Source organism: Homo sapiens, chromosome 3, assembly GCF_000001405.40.
Source record: "Homo sapiens chromosome 3, GRCh38.p14 Primary Assembly".
NCBI classification, from domain to species: domain Eukaryota; kingdom Metazoa; phylum Chordata; class Mammalia; order Primates; family Hominidae; genus Homo; species Homo sapiens.
In genome coordinates this window covers 36982734-37003109 of record NC_000003.12, presented here as the reverse complement: position 1 = coordinate 37003109, position 20376 = coordinate 36982734, and the positions used below count along the sequence as shown (strand labels likewise).

At 40.4% G+C, this 20376-nt stretch overlaps 2 protein-coding genes across 29 annotated transcripts in view, besides 7 other annotated features; one reads left to right on the top strand and one right to left on the bottom strand.

Moving 5' to 3' along the window:
* Positions 1-9644, bottom strand: part of MLH1 (mutL homolog 1) — a 57381-nt gene extending 47737 nt beyond the window's left edge. For 6 of the 28 annotated variants that reach the window (NM_000249.4, NM_001354628.2, NM_001258271.2 and 3 more), the window contains exons 1-3: positions 9447-9592; positions 6401-6491; positions 2057-2155 (exon numbers count right to left, since the gene is read on the bottom strand). In NM_000249.4, the coding sequence (NP_000240.1) occupies positions 2057-2155; positions 6401-6491; positions 9447-9562 (306 nt within the window). In that variant the 5' untranslated portion in view covers positions 9563-9592. Of the gene's footprint in view, positions 1-2056; positions 2156-5809; positions 5955-6400; positions 6492-7464; positions 7717-8156; positions 8281-9170; positions 9593-9625 lie in introns of those variants that run through there. The other 22 variants (NM_001354618.2, NM_001354622.2, NM_001354627.2 and 19 more) reach the window with 15 other exon arrangements.
* Positions 8891-9402: an enhancer, noted in NCBI's record as "H3K27ac hESC enhancer chr3:37035199-37035710 (GRCh37/hg19 assembly coordinates)". NCBI's record gives its function as "activates a minimal SCP1, AML or CMV promoter by ChIP-STARR-seq in primed H9 embryonic stem cells {active_cell/tissue: H9 hESC(primed)}" and the evidence as "EXISTENCE:reporter gene assay evidence [ECO:0000049][PMID:30033119]".
* Positions 8891-9538: a biological region, named in NCBI's record as "H3K27ac hESC enhancer GRCh37_chr3:37035199-37035710".
* Positions 9319-9538: an enhancer, noted in NCBI's record as "active region_19672". NCBI's record gives its function as "activates an Ori minimal core promoter by ATAC-STARR-seq in GM12878 lymphoblastoid cells {active_cell/tissue: GM12878}" and the evidence as "EXISTENCE:reporter gene assay evidence [ECO:0000049][PMID:35858748]".
* Positions 9909-10258: an enhancer, noted in NCBI's record as "active region_19671". NCBI's record gives its function as "activates an Ori minimal core promoter by ATAC-STARR-seq in GM12878 lymphoblastoid cells {active_cell/tissue: GM12878}" and the evidence as "EXISTENCE:reporter gene assay evidence [ECO:0000049][PMID:35858748]".
* Positions 9979-18067, top strand: EPM2AIP1 (EPM2A interacting protein 1). Its single transcript, NM_014805.4, has one exon. It carries the CDS (start codon positions 10033-10035, stop codon positions 11854-11856), a length of 1824 nt encoding a protein of 607 aa, NP_055620.1. The 5' UTR covers positions 9979-10032; the 3' UTR covers positions 11857-18067.
* Positions 10379-10698: an enhancer, noted in NCBI's record as "active region_19670". NCBI's record gives its function as "activates an Ori minimal core promoter by ATAC-STARR-seq in GM12878 lymphoblastoid cells {active_cell/tissue: GM12878}" and the evidence as "EXISTENCE:reporter gene assay evidence [ECO:0000049][PMID:35858748]".
* Positions 10729-10808: an enhancer, noted in NCBI's record as "active region_19669". NCBI's record gives its function as "activates an Ori minimal core promoter by ATAC-STARR-seq in GM12878 lymphoblastoid cells {active_cell/tissue: GM12878}" and the evidence as "EXISTENCE:reporter gene assay evidence [ECO:0000049][PMID:35858748]".
* Positions 11815-11864: a silencer, noted in NCBI's record as "silent region_14196". NCBI's record gives its function as "represses an Ori minimal core promoter by ATAC-STARR-seq in GM12878 lymphoblastoid cells {active_cell/tissue: GM12878}" and the evidence as "EXISTENCE:reporter gene assay evidence [ECO:0000049][PMID:35858748]".

The following is a 20376-nucleotide window of genomic DNA, read 5'->3' as shown; positions in this document are numbered from 1 at the left end:
ACTGGGTAACAGCAGAACCTCTGTAGAGTTACTGTCAGGAGTCAGAGTTAATACAAAGTATACAAAGTGCTGAGAACCACGGCTGGTACACAGAAATCCCTCAATAAATCTTCCTGTATAATTACAGTGAAATAATAGCCACAAAGATAACCTACAGCTAGGCGAAGACTCCAGGAGGCCATGGGCTTGGAAAATGACCCAGGGAACTGCAAGGCCAAAATGAAACTGCCTTCCTAGAGTTTGATCTAAGGTATCCTTAAAATCAGGAGCCGTCTCAGTGTAAACCAAGTCTTGGAAATTGTCCCTTCTTGGAATAATCTAGTGGTCACTGTGAGCAAGACAACACATGAGACCACCCTAGTTTGATGTAAATTGATCTAAATTACAGAGACTGAATCACAGCTGCTTTTTACTTTTTAAAAATTAAAGTAATACATGTATATGATAAAAAAATTCAAACTACTGAAAGGCCAAAAATGAAAAGTAACAGCCTCTTTGACTGCCCAACCCCATCTTCACTTTCATTCCCTTAAAATAACTACTGTAAAGTAGTTTCTCTGGTCCCTTGGAACCTCCATAGAGGAACACAGCCCTGCCAAAACCTTGATTTTAGCCTAGTGAGGCCTAGTAAGACCCGTATCTTCTGATCTCCAGAACTGTAGAATAATTAATTTGTATTGTTTAATGCCACTAAGTTTCTGGAAATTTTTTGACAGCAACAGGAAACTAATACAGTTTTTAAAATATGTATTCTTTTACCAAGGAATGTTATTTCTATAAATTTATCCTAAGGAAATAATTAAACGAAACACAGTGTACCTATAAGAATACTCATCAGGACCTTAAACAAGGCCAGACGTGGTGGCTCATGCCTGTAACCCCAGCACTTTGCAAGGCCAAGGCGGGCAGATCATTCAAGGTCAGGAGTTCAAGACCAGCCTGGCCAACATGGCCAAACCCTGTCTCTACCCAAAATACAAAAATTAGCTGGGCATAGTGGTGCACGCCTGTAATCACAGCTATTCAGGAGGCTGAGGCAGGAGAATAGCTTGAACCCAGAAGGCAGAGGTTGCAGTGAGCTGAGATCATGTCACTGCACTCCAGTCTGGATAACAGAGCAAGACTGTCTCAAAAAAAAAAAAAAACAAAAAAAAAAACAGAACGTTAAACAGGAAAAAATGGCAAAGAGCATAAATGTTCAATAGGAAACCATTTAAACAAACTACAGTACATACATGTAGCCATTAAAACCTAGATAGGACTATATTTACTGGGTAGAAAGATATCCAACAGGAAGTGAGTCACAAAATATAAGATCCTATTTTATCCTTTTATATTTTAATCCGTTTTCTAAATCATATACTCCTATACGTCATATAATTTTACCCACAAATATTTTAGTATGTATCTTAACAGGTAAGGACTCAAAAAAAAAAACCCATGACAATATTCTTATACCAAGATAATTCATAATTTCTCCTTAATGCCATCAAATAGTCAACCTGTATTCAAACATTTGTCTCAAAAAAATTTTTTTATAGTTTGCTCCATCAGGATTTAGGTAAGATCTATACACTGGACCTGGTTCATATGTCCCTTAAATGTCTTTTAATCTACAGGTTCTTTACTCCTTTCTCTATTCTTTTTTCCCTGCTGTCTATCTGTTGAAGGGAACAAGTCTTTTTCCATGTAGTCTCCCAATCTCAGTATCATTTACCATGCTTCCTTGTCTCCTATATTTTTCATATATTGGTACTTAGATCTAAGTAATGATCAGATTCACATTTGATTTTTTGACAAGAAAACTTCATAGGTGGTACTGGGTACTTCCATCAAGAAACATATATCAGAGGTCTCTGCAGGTAAAATAGTTTATTTATGAACAATTCTCAGTCTTTGAAAGTTAAAGTTCATTAAGTTTGCTCAGATTTGCATACATTTAACAAGTAAAAGGTACCAAACCTTATTTATCTATGTTGAGAAATACATACTAACAAATGACAGACAATGTCATCACAGGAGGATATTTTACACATTTCTTGAATCTTTAGCTTACCTCACCTCGAAAGCCATAGGTAGAAATACTGGCTAAATCCTCAAAGGACTGCAGTTTACTAGTAGTGAACCTTTCACATACAATATCCAGATCTTCTTTCTGTTAGATACCAAAAAGATGAGTAAATAATCATGTTACTCATTTTTCCAAATCTCTTTGAATTCCCATTTTCTTGATTTAATCCAGGAAAAAAAAATCCTCTTAGAAGAGTTTTTTTTTCTTTTCTTGGTTTTTGTTTTTTTTTTTTTTGAGACAGAGTCTTGCTCTGTCACCCAGGCTGAAGTGCAGTGGCGAGATCTCAGCTCACTGCAACCTCCTTTGAGACAGAGTCTTGCTCTGTCACCCAGGCTGAAGTGCAGTGGCGAGATCTCAGCTCACTGCAACCTCCGCCTCCCGGGTTCAAGCAATTTTCATGTCTCAGCCTCCAGAGTGGCTGGGATTACAGGTATGCGCCACCATGCTTGGTTAATTTTTTCTTGTATTTTTAGTAGAGATGGGGCTTCACTATGCTGGCCATGCTGGTCTCGAACTCCTGATCTCAAATGATCTGGCTGCCTTGACCTCCCAAAGCACTGGGATTACAGGCATGAACTACCACACCTGGCCTTAATTTCTTATATTTTTAGTAGAGATGAGGTTTCACCATGTTGCCCAAGCTGGTCTCAAACACATGAGCTCAAGTGATTTACCTACCTCAGCCTCCCGAAGTGCTGGGACTACAGGTGTGAGCCACCATGCCCAGCCTGAGAAGAGCTTTAAAATTAGCAGTAACTTCCTTGTTTGGAATCCAGAATACCACACTGTCCTGGTGTTCCTCCTTTCTTACTAGGTGGCTCCTTCTCAGTCACTGCTGTTTCTGCCTCATGTCCTCACTTGACATCAGAGTCACCCAAGACTCCTTCCTTGGACCTCTTCTCTATCTACACATACTCTCTTGATTATCTCATTCAGTCTCAGGGCTTTTTGTTGTTTGTTTAATTGACAAGCTTCTTTATTAAAAATCTCCAAGGCTGGGTGCAGTGGCTCACACCTATAATCCCAGCACTTTGGGAGGCTGAGACAGGAGGACTGCTTGAGGTCAGGAGTTCAAGACCAGCCTTGGCAACAAAGCAAGGCCCTATTTCTACAAAAACAAAAATAGGCATGGTGGTGTGAACCTACAGTTACTACTTCAGCTGGCTGAGATGACAGAATTGCTTGAGCCCAGGAGTTCAAGGTTACAGTGAGCTATGCTTACACTACTGCACTCCAGTGTGGGCGACAGAGTGAGACCTTGCCTCTAAAAAAGGGAAAAAAAAAAAAATTCTAATTTTTCAATGAACTCAAATTTACAAGAAAAAAACAAACAACCCCATCAAAAAGTGAGTGAAGGATATGAACAGACACTTCTCGAAAGAAGACATTTATGCAGCCAAAAAACACATGAAGAAATGCTCATCATCACTGGCCATCAGAGAAATGCAAATCAAAACCACAATGAGATACCATCTCACACCAGTTAGAATGGCGATCTTAAAAAGTCAGGAAACAACAGGTGCTGGAGAGGATGTGGAGAAATAGGAACACTTTTACACTGTTGGTGGGACTGTAAACTAGTTCAACCATTGTGGAAGTCAGTGTGGCAATTCCTCAGGGATCTAGAACTAGAAATACCATTTGACCCAGCCATCCCATTACTGGGTATATACCCAAAGGATTATAAATCATGCTGCTATAAAGACACATGCACACGTATGTTTACTGCAGCACTATTCGCAACAGCAAAGACTTGGAACCAACCCAAATGTCCAACAATGATAGACTGGATTAAGAAAAGGTGGCACATATACACCATGGAATACTATGCAGCCACAAAAAATGATGAGTTCATGTCCTTTGCAGGGACATGGATGAAGCTGGAAACCATCATTCTCAGCAAACTATCACAAGGACAAAAAACCAAACACTGCATGTGCTCACTCATAGGTGGGAATTGAACAATGAGAACACATGGACACAGAAAGGGGAACATCACACACTGGGGACTGTTGTGGGGTGGGGGAGGGGGGAGGGATAGCATTAGGAGATATACCTAATGCTAAATGATGACTTAATGGGTGCAGCACACCAACATGGCACATGTATACATATGTAACAAACCTGCATGTTGTGCACATGTACCCTAAAACTTAAAGTATAATAATAAAATTTAAAAAAATTGCAGTAAAATATATGTAACAGAAAATTTTCCATCTTAACCATTTTTAAATGTACAGTTCTGTGCCATTAACTATATTCACACTGCTGTGTTAACTATCATCATGATCCATCTCCAGAATTTTTTCATCTTCCCCAAACAGAAACTCTGTACCCAATAAACAATAATTTCCATTCTCCTCGCTCCCCCCGGCCCTGGGCAACCACCACTCTACTGTCTCTATGAATGTGACTACTCTAGGAACCTCATAAGGGGAATCATACAATATTTGTCCTTTAGTGACCAACTTATTTAACTTAACATGATGTCTTCAAGGTTCGTATATGTTGCAACATGTGTCAACATTTTATTTCTATTTAAGGCTGAAATTATTCCATTTTGTTTATCCATTCATCCACTGACGGACACTTAGGTTGCTTTCACCTTTTGGCTACTGTAAATAATGCTGCCATGAATATGAGTGTACAAATATCTGCTTGCATCCCTTCTTTTGGGAATAACTCAGAAGTGGAATTACTGGATTATATAATTATGTTTAATTTTTTGAGGAATCACCACAGCATTTTCCACAGCACCCTGCACTATTTTACATTCCCTCTAGCAATACACAAGAATTCCAATCTCTACATCCTTGCAAACACTTGTTTTTGTTTTTGATAATAGCCATCCTAATAGGTGTGAAGTGGTATCTCATTGTGGTTTTCATTCATTTTCCTAATGACCAATAATGTTGAGCATCTTTTCAGGTGAGTCTCAAGGCTTTTTTTTTTTTTTTTTTTTTTTTTTGATGGAGTTTTGCTCTTGTTGCCCAAGCTGGAGTGCAACGGTGCGATCTCGGCTCATCGCAACCTCCACCTCCCAGGTTCAAGCGATTCTCCTGCCTCAGCCTCCCGAGTAGCTGGGATTACAGGCATGTGCCACCACGCCCGGCTAATTATATATTTTTAGTAGAGATGGGGTTTCTCCATGTTGGTCAGGCTGGTCTCGAACTCCCGACCTCAGGTGATCTGCCCGCCTTGGCCTCCCAAAGTGCTGGGATTACAGGTGTGAGCCACCATGCCCATCCTTCTCGTGGCTTTTAATACCATTAAAATGCAGACAACTACCAAATATTCATCCCTAAATCTCTACCCTGCATTCCAAACTCACATAAACATCCAACTAACAGGCATCTTAAATTGAACATGCCCCAAAATGAACTTCTGATCTCTCTGAAAATCTGCTTCTTTCATAGTCTTTCCCATCTTAGTAAATGGCAACTCCTTCCATTTAGCAGACCAAAACCTTGAAATCATTCCTGATTCCTCTTTCTCTCATACCCTATATCAGCAAATTCTGAGAACTTTGCCTCCATAATTAACCCAGAATCTCACTGCTTCTTACATCTCTACTGCGACCAAGCAGTCTGCAGGACAGACTGCTTCTGCCCTGTCCTGCTATTTTCCACACAGAAAGACAAAGGATTAAAAAAAAAAAACTCACCACACCACGTAACCTCTGCTTAAAACCCTCTAACAGTATCCCACCATATTCAGAAAAAAAGCTAAAGATTTTACCTTGGCCCACAAGGATTTACGTGTTTTCACTCAGACCTCATCTCCTATTACTCTTTCCTTTTCAGCCTCTAGACAAACTGGCCTCCTTGATAGTCCTTTAACATGTCAGGTATGCTTCCATTTAATAGTCTTTGCGTATATTGTTCTGTAAGCCAAGAATACCTTTAAATAGCCTCACAACTTGCTCCTTGACTTCCACCGGTCTCTCAAATATCACATCCATATTGAAGCCTTCCTGAACTACTCAATTTAATTGCAACCTTTCTGGCTTGCACACTCCTATCTTCCTCCCTGCTTTAGTTTTCTCCACAGCACTTAATGCTATCTAATATAATATTTATTATACCCATTTTGTCTCCCACCACTATAATGTAAGCATCAGAAGAGAATAGATTTTAATCTATTTTATTCACTGACACATCCCCTGAACAGTGCCCAGCAAATAATAGGTACTCAATAAATATTTATTGTTGGTGTTGAATTTTTCAGTGAAAAAATCCCATCTGCAAAAGCCTAGTTTCCAGAACAGAGAAAGGTCCTGACTCTTCCATGAAGCGCACAAACATCCTGCTACTTTGAGGTTTTACTTACCCTGATCCCGGTGCCATTGTCTTGGATCTGAATCAACTTCAGGCCTCCCTCTTTAACAATCACTTGAATACTTGTGGATTTTGCATCTAAACTGGCAAATCAAACAGAAAATAATTTATCAGTCTGCAACTACTCTAATGTACATATTTTAATATGAGCCAAGCAATGATAACAAACTCCAAATACAAACAATAGTGCCTCATTAACGTGTTTTTCCTTTGTCTTACAGGCTCATACACTGTATGAGTTTACATATTGTGTGAGAGAGAGGGAAGAGACGGGCAGAGCAACCATCATTTCTAATAGGACATTCAGCACTATTTCTGTTCCTCTAGGAAAGACAGCAAGTGAAGTTAAAAATAGATTTCTTTTGGCAGATGTCTCTTCTCAACTAATTTTACTTTTACCTGAACTTTATTCAGCCTCAGGTTCCTAAGTGACTCTAATAAAATGTCACTAAATAATGTCACTAAAAAATAAAATTCTGAATGATTTTCTCTACTATTCCCTTTTATATTTACGATGGAGGGGAAAAAAAAAAGTAATGCAGAAAGTTAATAAATCTTTAGGAAGTCAATGAATTTTCTGGCCAGGCGCAATGGCTCACACCCATAATCCCAGCACTTTGGGAGGCCAAGGCGGGTGGATCACCTGAGGTCAGGAGTTTGAGACCAGCCTGACCAACATGGAGAAACCCCATTTGTACTAAAAATACAAAATTAGCCAGGCATGGTGACGCATGCCTGTAATCCCAGCTACTCAGGAGGCTAAGGCAGGAGAATCACTTGAACCCAGGAGGTGGAGGTTGCGGTGAGCTGAGATCGCGCCATTGCACTCCAACCTGGGCAACAAGGGCAAAACTCTGTCTCAAAAAAAAAAAAAAACCCAAAAAAAAGAAGTCAATAAATTTTTTGTGCTTTCAAAGAGTAGCCTATAAGCACAGACCAACTGCTAGAGAAAACAAATTTTCTAGCAGGGGCTGCATGAGAAAGAGTTATCTATTCCCCACACAGACAATTCTTTATTCAGAAATAAGATAATAGGCTGGGCACGGGGGCTCACACCTGTAATCCCAACACTTGGGGAGGCTGAGGTGGGCGGATCACCTGAGGTCAGGAGTTCAAGACCAGCCCGGCCAACATGGAGAAACCCCGTCTCTACTAAAAATAAAAAAATTAGCCGGGTGTGGTCATGCACGCCTGTACTCCCAGCTACTCGGGAGGCTGAGGCAGGAAGATCGCTTGAAACCAGGAGGCAGAGGTTGCCCTGAGCCAAGATCACGCCACTGCACTTCCGCCTGGGCAACAGAGTAAGACTTCATCTTAAAAAAAAAAGAAAGAAGACAATAAGTTACTTAAATATTACAGACATTTCTCATGAGCCCCTGTATTGAAGTTGTATTAGTCATCTCAACTTATATATTAAAAAGAGTATAACTGGACTCCATATAAAAATCTCCACTTGAGCCGGGCGCGGTGGCTCATGCTTGTAATCCCAGCACTTTGGGAGGCCAAAGCGGGCAGATCACCTGAGGTCAGGAAATCGAGACCATCCTGGCTAACATGGTGAAACCCTGTCTCTATTAAAAATACAAAAAACTGCAGGGCGCGGTGGCTCACGCCTGTAATCCCAGCACTTTGGAAGGCTGAGGCAGGCGGTTCACCTGAGATCGAGAGTTTTGACACCAGCCTGACCAACATGGAGAAATCCCATCTCTACTAAAAATACAAAATTAGCCAGGTGTGGTGGCACATGCCTATAGTCCTAGCTACTCGGGAGGCTGAGGCAGGAGAATCTCCCTTGAACCTGTGAGGAGGAGGTTGCAGTCAGCTGAGATCGCGCCACTGCACTCCAGCCTGGGTGACAAAGTGAGACTCCGTCTAAAAAAAAAATAAAAAAAAAATAAAAATCTCCACTTAAGTAATTAATTACAAGCCACCAAGCTAGTATGTTTAGTTTTGTTTTACAGTATTCTGGCACAGTACAATAATAGGCCCAGTTGTCCTGTCAATTCATTCTAACACAGTAGAAACAAAAGCCAGTCTGCCATTGCTTCTGTTACTACTATTACAAGTGAAAAGGAAAAAACATCCCCAGGTTCTTGCTCCTTCTTTCATCTACCTTCCAATTCTCTTCCTTTCCTTCAGTGGTCCTTTCTACCCACTGTTCTCTCAGTCCCATTGCCCTGAATAGTTTATACTTTCACAATAAATCCCTCTAGAAACCTACCACTCCAAACTGAAGCATTCTTTTTTCTATTAACGTACGGACGTCACTAACAACTGATTTTAACAAAATAATCTGACATAACGTTTAGGTGTATTTTGGGCTTGTCTTTTTGGAAGTTTATAGTCTGCACTCACTTTTCCTTCCACATGTTTCAAATCTCTTCCCTTCACATTTTTTGTCACAGTTATAAGCTTCAAAATCCAAGGATGACCCATAAAATCTGGTATCTTCGAAGTGCGTCCTCCGAAATAAAGGACAGGAAAACACTAAGAGGGGTCACTAATTTAACAATAGGGTAATCAGAAGTCAAGCCCAAAGTGCATCAGCCTGTCCTAAAACTACAAACGATTTGTTTTGAAAGAAACTCAAAATGAATTGTGCCTTTGGATGTGAACAGATGATTTCTGGAATGAATGAAAAGCAAGAAAACAGTAACACAGTACCCTCTGAAAAAAGGTTTTTCTCCCCATCTTAAGCTTTTATACATCTTTTAACTTCGCATGTTCTGCATACATAATTTTAAATTAAGTGGCTTCCTTACTTAGTTAACGGTACCATTAAGACAACACTACGTATATTCCTCCACTTACACTCCAAACAACCCTTAAAAGGTCTCGGGGGAGAGCGGTAAAGAAACACACGGTCTGCGGAAAAGGAGAAGGCCTGACTGGCACGTCAGGGAACCCGGCGGCCTCCGCCGTTGTGGGCATGCGCTGTACATGCCTCTGCCCGGGCAAAGAGGCGTGTCCGCGCCATTGAGTGACGCGGCCCGTTAAGTCGTAGCCCTTAAGTGAGCCCGGCTCGACTCCCTCCGTACCAGTTCTCAATCATCTCTTTGATAGCATTAGCTGGCCGCTGGATAACTTCCCCCGCCGCGATGCGGTTCACCACTGTCTCGTCCAGCCGCCGAATAACCCCTGCCACGAACGACATTTTGGCGCCAGAAGAGCCAAGGAAACGTCTAGATGCTCAACGGAAGTGCCTTCAGCCAATCACCTCAGTGCCTCGTGCTCACGTTCTTCCTTCAGCTGTAGCTTACGCCATCCAGCCCCACCCTTCAGCGGCAGCTATTGATTGGACAGCTTGAATGCCAGTCAAATTTCTCAACTCTGTGGGTTGCTGGGTCTCTTCGTCCCTCCCTGAAGCGGCTACTGCCCGCTACCTAGAAGGATATGCGCTTGCGCGTTAGAGATCGCTGTCCGCTCTTCCTATTGGTTCGTTTTTAGGAGCTCGGGGAATACGAAATATCCAGCCAATAGGAGCAGAGATGCCGGAACCGGGCTTGTGTGCCTCTGCTGAGGTGATCTGGCGCAGAGCGGAGGAGGTGCTTGGCGCTTCTCAGGCTCCTCCTCTCCCCTTGCGGCCTTTCTAACGTTGGCCCTGCTCTTGTGGCCTCCCGCAGAATGTGGATGACGCCCAAAAGAAGCAAGATGGAAGTCGACGAGGCTCTAGTTTTCCGGCCCGAGTGGACCCAGCGTTATTTGGTGGTGGAGCCTCCGGAGGGCGATGGGGCCCTGTGCCTGGTCTGTCGCCGCCTCATCGTAGCTACCCGCGAACGCGACGTCAGGCGCCACTACGAGGCTGAGCACGAATACTACGAGCGGTATGTGGCGGACGGCGAGCGCGCGGCCCTGGTGGAGCGTCTGCGTCAGGGCGACTTGCCCGTGGCCTCCTTCACTCCTGAAGAGAGAGCTGCTCGTGCAGGCCTCGGGCTCTGCCGCCTCTTGGCCTTGAAGGGTCGCGGCTGGGGTGAGGGGGACTTTGTATACCAGTGCATGGAGGTGTTGCTGAGAGAGGTACTGCCCGAGCATGTAAGCGTCCTGCAAGGCGTTGACTTATCTCCAGATATCACAAGGCAGAGGATCCTGAGCATTGACAGGAATCTACGCAACCAGCTTTTTAACCGAGCCAGGGACTTTAAAGCCTATTCTCTTGCCTTGGACGACCAGGCTTTTGTGGCCTATGAGAACTACCTCCTGGTCTTTATCCGCGGTGTAGGCCCTGAGTTGGAGGTGCAAGAAGATCTTCTGACCATAATCAACCTGACTCATCATTTCAGTGTTGGTGCGCTCATGTCGGCAATCCTAGAGTCCCTGCAGACAGCAGGGCTTAGCTTGCAGAGAATGGTTGGACTGACCACGACCCATACTTTGAGGATGATTGGTGAGAACTCAGGACTCGTCTCATACATGAGAGAAAAGGCCGTAAGCCCCAACTGTTGGAATGTCATTCATTATTCAGGATTTCTTCACTTGGAACTGTTGAGCTCCTATGATGTAGATGTTAATCAGATCATAAATACCATATCCGAATGGATAGTTTTGATTAAGACCAGAGGCGTTAGGCGACCTGAATTTCAGACTTTACTAACGGAATCTGAATCAGAGCATGGTGAAAGGGTTAATGGACGATGTCTGAACAATTGGCTTAGGAGAGGGAAAACTTTAAAACTAATATTCTCTCTAAGAAAAGAAATGGAAGCGTTCTTGGTTTCAGTAGGGGCAACAACAGTCCACTTCTCAGACAAACAATGGCTTTGTGACTTTGGCTTCTTGGTGGACATTATGGAACACCTTCGAGAACTCAGTGAAGAATTACGAGTTAGTAAAGTCTTTGCTGCTGCTGCCTTTGACCATATTTGTACTTTCGAAGTTAAGCTGAATTTATTTCAAAGACATATTGAGGAAAAAAATCTAACAGACTTTCCTGCCCTCAGAGAAGTTGTTGATGAGCTAAAACAGCAAAATAAGGAAGATGAAAAAATATTTGATCCTGATAGGTATCAAATGGTGATCTGTCGTCTCCAAAAAGAATTTGAGAGACATTTTAAGGACCTCAGGTTCATTAAAAAGGACTTAGAACTTTTTTCAAATCCATTTAACTTTAAACCTGAATATGCACCTATTTCAGTGAGGGTGGAGCTAACAAAACTTCAGGCAAACACTAATCTTTGGAATGAATACAGAATCAAAGACTTGGGGCAGTTTTATGCTGGATTGTCTGCTGAATCCTACCCAATTATCAAAGGGGTTGCCTGTAAGGTGGCATCCTTGTTTGATAGTAACCAAATCTGTGAAAAGGCTTTTTCATATTTGACTCGAAACCAACACACTTTGAGTCAGCCATTAACAGATGAGCATCTCCAAGCCCTGTTTCGGGTTGCCACAACTGAAATGGAGCCCGGTTGGGATGACCTTGTGAGAGAAAGAAATGAATCTAATCCATAAGGCTTTGTAGTACAAGATTGAAAAACTCAACAAGAATTTAATTCTAAAAGCAAAAATTGGTTTGAGTTTTCAAGTTTACTAATTTGGATTGTGAGAAAGTACCAAGTACCAGCCGTCCAAACTGATCACAATTAAAATTCTGACAGTTGCCTTTTTTTTCATCTCAAATGGCAGCATGGGACTGAAACATGAGAATGCCACCTTTTTTAAAACTTAGTTTAGTGACAAAGTCATTGTCTTTTATGATATAGTTAATTTTAAAGAGATTTAGTATTAATGTGAGTTGAATTTGCAGTCTGTTTTTTAGGTGTTCTGAAGATAAATGCCAAAAATTTCAGCTCTTATTTTAATGGAGTGTTAAAATTCTGATTCATATAGTCTTAAATTATCAACTCCTTAAATGTGCTTTTGAACCAATTTGCAGAAGCTCACATAGCAAGTTCATAAGTTTCCAAAAAGGAAGCCCATACATAACAGTGGAGGTGTTTTGTCTAACCATCAAAATGTTTGAGACTTTTTTTTAAACATTTCTGAGTTCGAAGGTAATACTGACAGATTTCTTCCCTCTTCCCTCCCCATCACCCACCTCAGTGATAACACATTACTGATAGAGGAAGTCATTAGAATCATTTTTAAGTTTCAGATATAGGAGACTTCATGCAATTTGGAGATAAGACTAATTATTGGGGGTTTTCCTTGGATTTTTTTTTTAATAACTGGGGGCTATTTTATCAGCTTGCCTATTAAAGGACTATGGTAAGTATAGAATCTTAATGGTTGCCAGTTAGTAATTCTTTTTTTTTTTTTTTTTACTGTAGACACAAGTTTGGCCCTATCAAAAACGATGAGGAAAAAAGATTGCACTCCAGGATTAGGAGGTGTGAGATATTTTAGCTTTTTTGTCTTATCTGCGTGGGTATTGCTGCTTTATTTTAAAAAATCCTGCCTAAAGTAAACACTTTGTTTTAAAATGATACAGTATCAGATTTTGTTAGATGCTAGAAATGGATTTATTCTAAAATTTGGAACTGTCGTACACATTCTATATGTAAGATAGCACACAAGTAGAAATATTTAAAAGCAGTCTTATTCACAGATTGCAGTAATTCTGTATTTCTACTAAGATAATCTGCTTTGTGCCAAAACAGTAATTTCCAAACTTCTGTTCACCATGAAAAGGCAATCTTAAAGTTCATTATGTAAAACTAATTATAAACAGGACCCAATTTATATTCATAGATCCTCTCAAGTATTATACAATTTAAAAACTCTTGTTCCAAAGTCCTGTCTTAACTATTGAAACACCTTAATCTGTGGTTACTAATCCAGCAAATTCAAGGAACCAGGCTATGACTAAGAATTTAGGTGGAATTGATGTCTGGGCAATTAAAATAAATGGCATAAGAGCTTAAAAACCAAAGTTGTGCCAGTGGCTTTCAACTAGAGGCAGTAACCTGTCATTCCAGAGGATGCTGAGAAATGTGTAGGGGCACTTTTTTGGTTGTCATATTTACTAGGGGCTTCTGTTGGCATTTAAGCCTAAAGACACTCACCCCTGCAGTGCATGGGACAGCCTGGCACAATGAAGAATTAGCCCTCCCAAAATGTAGATTATTTTATTTCAAGGGATAGGGCAGATTACCATTAGAAGCAAAATTAAAAGTACAAGCTGGGCAAACTGACAGAATACTAGATAGGAGAGACTAATTCCAACCTTCTAAATTTGGCTAGTAAAGTGCAATAAAGGCATTGATAAGTTCTGTTAGCTCACCATAGCACTTGTAAATCAGGAATTAATAATTGAATCAGATTTAAGGGCTCTGTCCTGTTATACATATTTAAGGCAGAAAAAAAGTTACATGTCGATTAGGTACTTATCAAGAATGGTCAAGCTGAGATTTTGGTTAATAGAGTAAGCTTACATATCTAGAGAAACAACATAGTGGAAAACCGAAAAAAAAAAACAGAAAAATCTACCGGTAATTTCCCAATAGCTTTGAATATTCACAGCAGAGCTTTATTACTTGAGAGAAAGACTGGAAGACCTGAAAGCCACTTCTGCTTTCTAACCCCAGTTCCTTAAATATTGAAATCTTGTACATTTTGTGAAATTCCAGTATGTTTTGCTTAAGGTGTTAATAAAATTAGTTTGCATCATGTAGTCATTGAGTGAGGGGGAGATATAAGCCAAGGATTTTAAATTGACCCTTAGCTATAGAGAATTTGCTATAAGCTAGTCTTGTTTGTAAAAAAAAAAAAAAAAAAAGAAAAAGAAAAAAGTGTATTTTACTGTTTTCTGTATTAAGTAATTCTGTAACTGCATGGCAGTCTTTTTTTTTTTAAATAAATATAGTTGTTACTGGTCCTGTTGTAGCAGTGAATATAGTTAAAATACGTACATTAAAAAAAAAATTATTAGGTCCTTACCAGTTACTGTCCTATAGCTCATTCCTACTAGTTTTCTTGACAGATTTGTATTCCCAGTGTCCCGTATTGCCACTCAAATTGCTCTACTATGCTAAGTCCTTGTTAATAGTCTTACCCTCCTTGAAACACTTGAACACTTGATGACTTTAGCTTTGAGGAGATACCATCTCCAGGTGTGCTTTCTTAGTCTTTGCAGGCACCTCTTCCCTTCAATATCTGTTCTTCGTATTTTTAAAAAAATTTGTTTTAGACTGCCTTGTTCTGTGTCAGCTCGCTAGCTGATCTCATTTCCTTCCATGGTTTCCTTACCATTTATATGCAAATGACTGTCAGATTCATATCTCCTTTCTAGATCTTCCCTAATTGATGTATCTAATTGCTAACAAATGCTCTTTGCTGTCTCAGGCACTACATGTCATTGATCTTGCCCCCAATCCTGCTCCTCCTCTCATGTTTCCTCTTTGACTAAATGGCATTACCACTACCAACCATTCATTTGTCCTTTTTACCAATTCTCCAATGCTGCCATTTTAATTCAGGCCATCAACCTACCTAAATTATAGCAACAGCCTCCTTATTAGTCTCCCTGTTTTTTATTTTTATTCCTTTCTACACTACAACCAAATTGCTCCAAAAGACTTACTGATCATGTCACTGCATTGCTTTCACCATTGCTCTTAGGGTACAATACAAATTTATCTTCATCTTTAAGGTCTCAGTATGCCACTTCATCTAGGAAACCTTCATTGATGCCCTCTAGATTAGGTGCCCTTACTATCCATTCCCTATACACCCTGTTCTTTCCCAGACATACACTTGGCACACTTTATTGTTACTGCTTATTGATCACTGCTAGACTGTAAGCTTTGTAAGGGCAGGGACCATATAAGCCTTGTTCACTGTTATATCTCTAGTGCTTAGCACAATGCCTGGCATTTCAATAAATGTTTGGACAAACGAATATTTGTGTAGTGTTTTACAATTTTTGAAGCTCTTTCACAGTCTTATTTGACCTTCACAGTCATTCTGCCTTAGACTGTCCATTGGGTAACTTTTATCCACATATTACTAATTGAAAAATGAAGACAAGTTCTTTGTAACTAGGGACCTCGTTGTATTCTCAGAATTTAGTGTAGTGCTTAGCATGTGACTTAAATATGTATTATGTGACTGTTAAACAAATTGTGGTTTTCTCTGTTGTATGAAAGGAGAGAAGGATAACAAATTGCGGTTTTCCCTGGTAAACACAGTAAGTAGTAAACTCAGGATTCAAAACCAAATATACACACCAAATCCACTATGTAATATTAAGTTTGCATATCCATGTATAGAATCTTATTTTTTTTTACCCTTTGTAAACAGTGTCATATATATATATATATTTTTTTTTTTTTTTTAAATTTCCAAAGGAACCTACATATAGAGGGAAAAGATTAGACAACTACTTAGTGAACTAAAACAATATGTTTTTACTAAATGTTACATTTAGTATTGGAAAAAGATAATGCCGCCTAAGAGTTAATAATCATTTTTCCTTTTGTAGGCATCAACACTAGGAGAAAATGGCATGCTATTTACTTGCTACTTTCCTTTACAGATGATTTTTGGCTCTTCTGGGATTTAAAAGTAAGTAAATTTAACAAAGTAGAAGACTGACTCAGCCCTTCTGGTCACTATATATTCAGTTCACTTGTTTTTACACCTGCAGAATGTCCTTATCACCCAAAGGGAGATGACCCAAAAGTGACATCTAGTTAATGTATACTTCTAAAGTTTGCTGTATTCCTTTGCCTTCTTGTTCCCATGCCTCTCTGAACTTAATTTCTGGGTAACTGAGGCTTTTCAGGCTTAGGTGGGAAAGCCACACCCTTAGTCTGTTTCCTTAAGCCATTTTGACCAATTTATGGGATTAACTAGTATAATCTTAGTTGGAGTTTTAGTCTGAGGCATATTAAGTCATTCAGAGATCTTAACAGTAGGTGTCATAGTCATCCAGTGATTTGGTGCTTGCTGCAAAACTGGCTTTTTTTTTTTTTTTTTTTTTTGAGGCGGGGTCTCACTTTGTCACCCAGGCTGGAGTGCAGAGGTACAATCTCAGCTCAATGCAATCTCTGCCTTCCTGGCTCAAGCAATTCTCCCACTGCAGCCTCCTAAGTAGCTGGGAATACAGGTATACACGAGTACACCCAGCTAATTTTTGTATTTTTATGTGGAGACAGGGTCTTGCTGTATTCCCCAGGCTAGTCTCGAATTCCTGGACTCAAGCAGTCCGCCCGCCTCGGGCTCCCAAAATGTTGGTGTTATACGTGTGAGCCTCTGCACCCGGCGGCAAAACTGGCTTTTAATCAACCTTTTGGCTAAAGGATTTCTCTTTTTATTTATTTGTAAAAGGATTTCCCATTTTTATCTTTCTTTTTGATATTAAAATGTTGCCTCATCCTACCCAGTAAGTACTTGAATTTGAATTCTCTTCCTTTTCATTTTTGCCTGCAAACTGACCAGTCTTTTCTGAGTTCATCTCTTCTGTACGTTTTGTCAAGTGCAGTGAACAGCAACTACAAAATATTTTGTTTTTCTGTCTTTTTCTTTAGTAAAGGGTAGATGATCTGCCTTTCAGGTTATCTCAAGGGGCAGTTTCACCTTTCCATAATATAAATTACCCTTGTGTAAGTTATTTCTTCCATCTTCTGATAGCAATTTCCTGAATGCCTGCCAGCTAACCATTAAGCCAGTGTTCAGTATTTTAGCATTTTAAAAAACAAGGGACCAATTTCTGTGTCAGCATGGGCTAGCTTGCCATTGAATAACAAAGGCAAAATCTCACTGTCTCACACAACTTTTCTATTGCAACTTGCCTAGGGACTTTGGTTTAGATCATAGGTTGGCCATGATCAAACTATGGTCCATGGGCAAAATCTGTCTAGCTCCTTATTTATCTAAATAAAGTTTTACTGGAATATAGCCTTGTCCATTTATTTATTATCTGTGGCTACTTTGGTTCTACAATGGCACAGCTGAGTAGTTGCTACAGAGTGTGTACATCTCACAAAACCTAAAATACTTATTCTGTGGCCCTTTACAGAGAAAGTTCACCAATTTGTGCTCTAAGTTGCCTTCATTCTGGGTCTCAGGCTGACAAAGCAGATACCATCAGGAGTGTGGGTGCTAACTTTGGGAAATGAAAAAAGAGTATGGCAAATCACTTAAGGACTCTTAAAGGACTTTCATTGGCCAAAGCAAATCACATAGCCACATTAAAGTTCTAGGAGGAGTGTGATCCTTGCATATACCTGGGAGAAAAACCAGAAATATTTGGAAGACAACACCACTGATTAACATCTTCATTTATATGCTTTCTTCCAATATATTTTCAACTTGTTACTGAGGTAAAATTTAAAAGTGTACCGATATTAAGTGTACACCTCAGTGGGTTTTTATATATGCCCTTGAATGCACCACCCAGGTCAAAATATAGAATATTTCTAGCACTTCAGTAGGTGTCCTTATGTTCCCCAGGCCCCCACCAACCCCTTTTATCACCACGGATTAGTTTTGCCTGTTTTAAAACTTTATGTAAGTGAAATAATTATATGCACTCTTCCGTGTCTTGTTCAACATTGTATCTGTGAGAGTAATCCATGTTATATGTAGTAGCAGTTCATGTTTTACTTCTGTGTAGTATTCCATTGTGTGACTACATCACAACTTACCCATTCTACCGTTGATAGAAATTTAGGTTGTTTCCAGCTTGTGGTCATTATGAATAAAGTTACTATGAAAATGATCACATCTGTCTTTCAGTGAGCATGTGCACCCATTCTTGGCATACTCTTTGGTATGTACCCTGCTTCTATATTTTCCTCATATAGTTTATTCTCTACATAGCATTCAGAGTGATCCTTATTTTAAAATATAAATTAGGCCAGGCGCGGTGGCTCACACCTGTAATCCCAGCACTTTGGGAAGCCGAAGCAGGTGCATCACCTAAGGTCAGGAGTTTGAGACCAACCTGGCCAATATGGTGAAACCCCATCTCTACTAAAAATACAAAAATTAGCCAGGTGTGGTGGTGCATGCCTGTAATCCCAGCTACTCAGGAGGCTGAGACAGGAGAATCGCTCCAACCCAGGAGGCAGAGGTTGCAGTGGCTGAGATCATGCCACTGCACTCCAGCCTGGGCGACAGAGCAAGGCTCCGTCTCAAGCAAAACAAAATATGTGTGTATGTGTGTATATTCATATAAATCAGACCATACCACTTGTCTGCTCAAAATCACCAATGGCTTTGTATCACAATCAGACTAAAGTCCAATGTCTATCATGGCCTACGAGACCCTGCATACTCTGCACCCACACATACTCTGCACACATACCCTTTTTCTTCCTACCATCTTACCTCATACCCTTTATCCCTTTCCCTGTTCCTTCTCACTCTCCTCTGTACTAGACATAGTGCTTGTAAACTTGGGAATCAAAATTAATGATGTGGCCTTGTCCTTAAAAGAGATTGTAATCTAAGTAGATAGTTTTGACATAAGCTATAACACTGGTTTATGTTAAATCAGTTACCCCAATTTATACTGATGTTTAACTCCTGGAAGGGATTTAGAAATTAAAATGCAAAATCTTGACAAATTTGAGGAATGTGTAAGATCTTACCTCCTAATTCTACTAATTCTAAATTAGAGTTTACCAATTTTTGTTTGTTTTTTTTGAGTCTCGCTCTGTCACCCAGGCTGGAGTTCAGTGGCGAGATCTCGACTCACTGAAACCTCTGCCTCCTGCGTTCATCTTCTACTTCAGCCTCCCAAGTAGCTGGGACTACAGACGAGCACCACCACGCCTGACTGATTTTTTGTATTTTTAGTAGAGACGGAGTTTCACCATGTTGGCCAGGCTGGTCTTGAACTCCTGATCTCAAGTGATCTACCCGCCTTGGCCTCCCAAAGTGCTGGGATTCCAGGCATGAGCCACCATGCCCGGCCCGAATTTACCAATTTGGTTATGACATTCATAATTGTTCACTTTTATGGGAGCAGAGGGTGAAGGGAGTTGGGAAAGCAGTGGAATAAATCAGTAAGTACTGATATTAAGTCCAAAATAGCACAGTCATAAGGGACCTCCTTAAATGTTGTACCATTATTGGTACATTATTGGTTGTTCTAACTGAAATCAGTTAATAACTGAACTCTCCACATTTTTTACAACTTTCATATACAATTGAAGTACAAGAAACTGCACGTATTTAAAGTAGAAAATTTGATTGGTTTTGACATAAATGTGTGAAACCATCACAATCAAGAGCGCTAATCCCATCATGAGGGCTCCACATTTATGAACTAGTTGCCTCTCAAAGGCCCCACCTCGAAATACTGTTGGATGTTAGCATTTCAACATATGAATGGGGGTGTGGGAGACACAAACATTCAGTCCATAGCAGGAAAATATAGGGATGTCTCAGAACCACCATTGTCTACTTTCCTGTTTGTGTCTGCTTTCTTATCACTTCGCCTGCCGGCCAGCCTTTATGCGCTGCATTGGTGTCTATCACCACCTTTAGTGCTGCTGACCAACTGACCTAATCTCATGTGCCAATTCTGTATTCCTGAGTGGGGACATGTGATCCAGTCTTCGGTGGTGTCTTTCCTGAGGTCTGACATATACCTGTAGTGAAGTAAGTGGTGGCTATGAAGGGGAGAATATCATAATGTATTTGGAAGGGCTTTCTGGTTGTAAGAAAGAAACTTGTGCTAGCTTAAGGGGGAGGAATAATTGAATGATTAGAGAAATACAGAAGTATCTCATGGAAACCACATGAGGGAATGAAATTCAGTGGTCCTTCAATAATTATTTGATGAAAACCTGCTAGGGCCAGGCACTGATCTAGGCACTGGAGATTCAGCAGTAAAGCAAGCGGTATTTCCTACCGTGATGGTTGTCTGTGGTCCCTTTGCACATCCGCTTCATTCTGTCTGAACAGCAGCTTCACCTGCTCATTTTTCTTCAAGGGAGAACATAGTTGTGACTAGCAAGATACTTTTTCCTAAAAGGATCCATAATACATAGCTACAGGCCCCCAGGCCTGTGGTTGGGA